We start from the raw sequence: 7,140 nt of genomic DNA, 5'->3' as shown, positions 1-7,140 counted from the left end.
ACTATCAAGAATACAGTTTCAATGGAGTGGCATAATTCAAATTGCACAGGATGAGGAGGAAATGAATATAGAGAAAATGCGGTGATGAAGCTCTGATAATTTCCCAATATGCAAGTAGAGAAAAGAAAGTGTAAAATAGAGTGCCAACTGTGAGGGAGAAGGAAAATGAGCTATATGTTTTAAGCTTTAAGCCTCAGAATTTGCCCAGTCTTTCTCCTGACTTCATTTTATTGTATGGATATAGTCCATAAAGATTAACTGACTTTCCCAGGTCATATGCCTGTTTAAGATTAGGCTGCTATTTTAGTCATGAAGTCTTTGCCCATGCCTATGTCCTGAACGGTACTGCCTAGGTTTTCTTCTAGGGTTTTTATGGTTTTAGGTCTTACATTGAGGTCTTTAATAAATCTTGAGTTAATTTTTGTATAAGATGTAAGGAAGGGGTCCAGTTTCAGTTTCTGCATGTGGCTAGCCAGTTTACCAAACACCATTTATTAAATAGGGAATCCTTTCCCCATTACTTGCTTTTGTCAGATTTGTCAAAGATCAGATGGTTGCATATGTGTGGCGTTATATCTGAGGCCTCTCTTCTGTTCAATTGGTCTATATATCTGTTTTGGTACTAGTACCATGCAGTTTTGATTACTGTAGGCTTGTAGTATCGTTTGAAGCCAGGTAGCGTGATACCTCCAGCTTTGTTCTTTTTGCTTAGGATTGTCTTGGCTATACCAAAAGCAATGGCAACAAAAGCCAAAATTGACAAATGGGATCTAATTAAAGTAAAGAGCTTCTGCACAGCAAAAGAAACTATCATCAGAGTGAACAAGCAACCTATAGAATGGGAGAAAATTTTTGCAATGTATCCATCTGATGAATGGCTAATATCCAGAATCTACAAGGAACTTAAAAACATTTACAAGAAAAAAACAGACAACCTCATCAAAAAGTGGCCAAAAGATATGAACAGACACTTCTCAAAAGAAGACACTTATGTGGCCAACAGTTACATGAAAAAAAGTTCACCATCACTGGTCATGAGAGAAATGGAAATCAAAATCATAATGAGATACCATTTCACACCAGTTAGAATGGTGATCATTAAAAAGTCAGGAAACAACAGATACTGGAGAGGATGGGGAGAAATAGGAACACTTTTACACTGTTGGTGGGAATTCAAATTAGTTCAACCATTGTGGAAGACACTATGGCGATTCCTCAAGGATCTAGAACCAGAAATACCATTTGACCCAGCAACCCCTTTACTGAGTATATACCCAAAGGATTACAAATCATCATTCTACTATAAAGACACATGTACACTTATATTTATTGCAGCACTATTCACAACAGCAAAGACTTGGAACCAACCCAAATACCCATCAATGATAGACTGGATAAAGAAAATGTGGCACATATAAACCACGGAATACTATGCAGTCATAACAAAGGATGAGTTCATATCCTTTGCAGGGACATTGATGAAGCTGGAAACCATCATTCTTAGCAAGCTAACACAGAAACAGAAAACCAAACACCATATGTTCTCATTCATAAGTGGGAGTTGAACAATGAGAACACATGGACACACAGAGGGGAACATCACACACTGGGGCCTTTTGGGGCTTGGAGGGCTAGGAGAAGGACAGTATTAGGAGAAACACCTAATGTAGGTGACGGGCTTTTGGGTGCAGCAAGTCACCATGGCATGTGTATACCTATGTAACAAACTTGCACTTTCTGCAGATGTATCCCGGAACTTAAAATATATATTTAAAAAATAATAATAAATATTAAAAAAATAAAAGATTTGGTTGGTAATAGAACCTGTTCTCCCATTTTATCTCAGTGCTTGTTCTACTATACAATGCTACAAGGGCCTAACATAAAATATCATTATGCTCAAAAGTTGTTATTTTTATTATAATAATTTTTATGGCACTTGGTATAATATAGAGTATATCCTTGGCTCATCAGTTAAGCATATAGACTCCAATTATAGATATTCCAAAATTCAGCAATATTTCAGCTCCTTCTCCTTCTGTAATAAACAAAATTGACTCTTCCTTCAGTATTTCCTTGCCCAATGAACAAAGATAGCTTTTCACGTTTCTCTGTTTGACTTTTCATGTCATGCCTCAGTATCCTGCTGCCTTATGGAGGCTGGATATGAGGAAAGGATCTATGTGCCACGATTTCTGTAAATTCAGATGTTGGTTGGTCTCTGGATAGCCTTAGCCAACCATCTTTCTCTCCCCTCGCCTACTTGTGTAGAGTTCTGAGAGTAATTGTAGAATGTGCTAACAAACAATGAAATATCCTGAGACAGGGAAGAACTACCCAGGACAGTTCACCCTATCACCCTATCCCCTTATCCTGAGATAGGGAAGAAAAGACCAGGACATCTGGGCTTTGTTCCTGTCTCCCATAGAAGCAGGATATCCCTCAAAGCTTTACCCAGTGAGTCACATTTTTCCTGAGGCATGTAACCCTGAACAGGCTTCCTTTTGGAGTCCCTCACTGGCAGCGCAAGTGGGGCACACACATTTGAGACTCCATCCACCCTAGGCAGCTTTCTGAAGATTGGAGGACCAGTTCACAATGAGTCCTAGTGTTACTGGGGGTCCTTGCTCACAGAGCTTCCAAGATGGTGGCGAGCCTCTTCCAAGATGGTGGCGGGCCGCTTCCAAGATGGTGGCAAGCCTCGTATTCTCTGACATGGGGTTCTGGGCCTTACGGATTCCAAGGAATGGAATCTTGGGCCATGTGGTGAGTGTTATAGCTCTATTAGAAGCTGTGGGTCACGGAAGAGAACTGTGGAACCCAGTGACTAGTGTTCAGCTCGATTAGGACAAACCCAGGCACTTAGCCATGCAGGAACAATGGCAAACCTTTAGCCCAATCAGGAGTGGCAATGGGCACCTCGCTGGATCAGGAGCACAGCGGACACCCTGCTGGATCGAGAAGAATGGAAGTCAGTGGTGGGTCTGCGACAGTGGCAAAACATCAGTGGTGGACGGCAAGCGAAAGCTCAGCTCGAGCTGTAACAAACATGGACCAGAAGAGTGCAGTTGCAAGATTTAATAGAGTGAAATAGAATGAAAACAGAGCTCCCATACAAGGGGAGGGGACCCAAAGGGTGTTGCCATTGCCGGCTGGAATGCCTGGGTTTATATGCAGATCATTGTCCCTCCCACTGTGCTCTCAGGCAACAGATGATTGGCTATTTCTTTACCTCCTGTTGTTGCCTAATTAGCATTTTAGTGAGCTCTCCTTACTATCTGATTGGTCATGTGTGAGCTAAGTTGCAAGCCCTGTGTTTAAAGGTAGAAATGGTCACCTTCCCAGCTAGGCTTAGGGATTCTTAGTCAGCCTAGGAAATCTAGCTAGTCTTGTCTGTCATTCCCACCTCTCAACAGGAAAACCCAAATGCTGCTGGGGAGGTTGGCCGATGACCGCTTTAACTGCTTCGTGCTGAATTGGGGCGTAGTGGGGTGGTGCAGTTGAGATTTCCTCAGGAGGGGTGACTTTGATGTCATTAACATCAGAGCATGGGCTAGTAGGCCAGTCCAAGGGTCCGTGGTAGATCTTAGTCATGGATTGCATCTGGGACTCCATTTGAAGAACGATTTGTAGTTTTACATCTTCGATTCTGGAAGAGACAAACTTAACAAGGAAGTTAAAGATACAGGGATTGAAATGTATGGCTTGCAGTGCAGGGGATTATTTCTTTGGCACACTTTACAGGTCCTGACTATCTGCTTGATAGTTTTGAAAAGCCCTGGTCCAGTAAATAAAAATGTGGCCATCTGATGAGTGCTATCAATGCCTAAGTGAAAGGTATGTTGAAGGGTTTTAACTAATTTTCATTGGTTAACTGCAGGCAAAAGGATTTTTCCTTCTTTGGTGGCTAGCCATCCTGAGGGGAGAAAACTATGTCCTCATGAGGTTCCCCATTCTATTTCTCCTCCTGAGTATTGGGGCTTGGTTTCCCAGAGGGGATTACCCCATACTAGGGGCCCTTCTATAAGCATTTCTAATGGAGGGTCCTGCTTTGTGGCTCTTTTGGCTTCAGTATCCGCTTGGCGGTTCTCTTCTATTTTCCTTTCCTTTCCTTTCTGATGACCCCAGCAGTAAGACCGCCACCTCTTTAGGTTTCTATACAGCCAATAATAATCTCCTAATGGCTTCCTGATGTTTGATAGGTGTTCCCTCAGAAGTTAGGAATTCCCTTTCTCTCCATATTGCTGCATGGGCATGGAGGACTAGGTAAGCATACTTAGAGTCTGTATATGTATTTACCCTTTTCCTTTCTCCTAATTCTAGTGCCTGAGTGAGGGCTATTCTGCCAGCTGAGCACTAGTTCCTGGAGTGAGGGGATTACTTTCAAGGATTCCATTATCACTGACCACTGCATACCTCGCTGGAAGCTCTGTGAGCAAGGACCCCCGGTAACACTAGGCTTCCGTTGTCCTTTGCTGGCTATCTGTACTTAGTAAATTTGCTTCGTGTACCTTGTGGATAAGTGCGTCCTGTTTCACTGGACAGACATTTTTAGAAAGTGCACAGTGAATTTGTTTCTCATCATGTAATGCCAAAGGTTCTTGCCTTAGCCACGCCAAATAATTGGTGAGGTGGCTGCCCATGGGGAATGATGGAGACACTGACCAAGAGCAAAAAAAGCCATAGGCTTTATTGAGCAGAGTGACAGTACAAAGCTTCCACAGCATGGAAGAGGTCCCGAGCGGTAGCCAGTGTTACATTCTTCAATCACCTTTTAAACTCTTTAAGGCAGGAAATACGTGAGGTGGGCAGATGTTACCAGAGCGAGAAACAAAGACAATTAACATGTCTCAGATCTTGAGGAAAACCAGAATTGCAACTTAGGTTTTATCTACTTTATGACCCTGCATCGGCAAAGGAGACAGGATCTCACAGGACTTTACAAAGTATGTTTACAAGGAATTGGAATTGGAAGCATAGATAAGGTCCACTGGTCACAGACAAATGGGCAATTAACATTCATTTTAGTTTCAGGGGAGGGGGAAGAGAGAGAGGGAGAGAGGACACAGGGAAGCTTACAGCAAAATTTTCACTGTTTATAGCTTTCTTGGGGAAGAAAACACATGCACAAATTCTGATATTAGGAATATTTTAAGCATATGTCTTCAATATTATTCATCCAGGACCAAAGTAAGTCCTGATGCAGGAAATGAGTGAGTTTCACAGCTTTCTGAGCCCCTACTCTACCCAGGAAGCCTAGCTGGCCCCTCCTTTCAATCAGATGCTAAAGAATATAAAATTCCAATGTAATGCTAGTGAAGAGGCACCAGGATCAAAGATAAATCATTAACAATGAGGTGATTCTTAAATGTTATTCCAAGAGATATTTCCTTTAGCTTCAACTCAGTGTAGCTACGTTGAAATGGAGTTACAATTTGGAGAGTAAATTTGGCTTGTAAAGTTTTGTGAAAGTCTCTCTCTAAATTTATCTGAGATTTTGCTTGACTCACACCACGTGGGGAGTGTTACCAGTGGATGGTGACCAGGTTCTTGGTGTCTTGAACAAAGAATCAGACAAAACATACAAACAAAGCAAGGAAAGAATGAAGCAACAAAAGCAGAAACTTATTGAAAATGAAAGTACGCTCCACAGTTTGGGAGCGGGCCCAAGCATAGGGGCTCGAGGGCCCCGTACAGAATTTTGGGGGGATTTAATACACTGTAGAGGTTTCCATTGGTTACTTGGTATATGCCCTATGTAAATGAAGAGGATGAAGTAAAGTTACAAAGTCATTTACTCAGGGAACGCCCTATGCAAATGGAGAGGATAGTTCCTGTCATAGCTGAAGTGTGAATCCGCCTTATGTTTCCTGCCTTCAGACCCTATTTTCATGCCTCAGGGAGGATCGTGTAACCATAACATTTCCCGAATTTCTGCCTTCAATAGTTATTGTCATTATTTACACTGTTCTTAGGGCAACAGAAGTTCCTGTGTCTGCTTCCCAAACACTTAAAATATAAATTGAAAAAGTTTGGAGTCACTTATCTTCTCTCTCCATCTACATATTGATAGAAAAAGTGCAGCAAAGAGCAGAGTTGAGAATAGACATAATAATATAAAATAATAAGTTCTGCTAATTTTTAGCCCTGTACCCTATCACTGGTACATCTGATTCATTTGAGCTTTAGAAACAAATTGGTCAATTAACCAGTGGGTCATTTGTTTAAGATACAATTTATTTCAAAGAAAATGACTTTTAGTTTATATCCTTAATGCTTTACAAAATTTGAGATTTTTTTGAGAGAATGGGTTATACAAAGAAATATTTAAATTTGCATTGTTAAAAGAAATGGATTTTTTTCTAGAGAAATTTATTGTGACATTTTATATCATAGAATTGTATTTCATCCTATAGGCTAGTGTTTTCCTAAACTATAGTTGGATTCTATGTATAAGGACAGTCCTCGCAATTTATCTGTTTTGGCTAAGAAGCGAGCATTGTGTGAATATAGCCATTGCTGAAAGATGGGAGAGTATTCAGTGATGCAGCTATACATGTTGGATTATTTCATCTTGATATATAAATATCTATTTCTATATATTAATTGTAAATAGAGATCAACAGACTTAAATTTAAAAGAAATGAACCTTATTCCAGTTGCCACTCTGTTTTTCATCATAAGTTACTAAATTCCTACATTTATTATGTTTTAAATGTGGTGAATAGGAAAATAGTATCTTAGGACACCTGGCAACATATTTAGCATCTCAAATTTTTTGATATCAATATCTGACAATGGAAATAATTTTGAAAACTCTAGAAGGATACTGTAGTAGTTCAATGCCATGCAATTCCTTCATTTCTGCATAAACCAATCTAGTCTGCTTTTGGCAGCCATACTCCTTCAGGAAGATACAGATCCTGATTGTAAAAGTTATTAACTGTTCTTTTATAAGGCTTTACAATTGACAAGGCACAGTTTAATAGATGTGATCTCTTCTAATCCTTATAACAGTGCTATGGTTTAGTGATCAGAAAACAGAATTAGCTATTTGTAAAACCAGAATGCAAAGCTGTGTATTCTGAATATGTATGTGATCAGTATCATTTTCACTGCATCGTGATGAAGGAAACAGAA

At 40.3% G+C, this 7,140-nt stretch overlaps 1 annotated feature.

Annotated features, from left to right (window-relative positions):
* Window positions 3,002–4,201: an enhancer, noted in NCBI's record as "MED14-independent group 3 enhancer chr4:33743381-33744580 (GRCh37/hg19 assembly coordinates)". NCBI's record gives its function as "activates an origin of replication core promoter dependent on BRD2, BRD4, P300/CBP and CDK7 cofactors, and independent of MED14, by STARR-seq in HCT116 cells {active_cell/tissue: HCT116}" and the evidence as "EXISTENCE:reporter gene assay evidence [ECO:0000049][PMID:35650434]".

The sequence above is a fragment of the Homo sapiens genome, chromosome 4 (genome assembly GCF_000001405.40).
Source record: "Homo sapiens chromosome 4, GRCh38.p14 Primary Assembly".
NCBI classification, from domain to species: Eukaryota; Metazoa; Chordata; class Mammalia; order Primates; family Hominidae; genus Homo; species Homo sapiens.
Note: the sequence above shows the minus strand (reverse complement) of the source record. Positions and strands in the feature narration are given on the sequence as shown.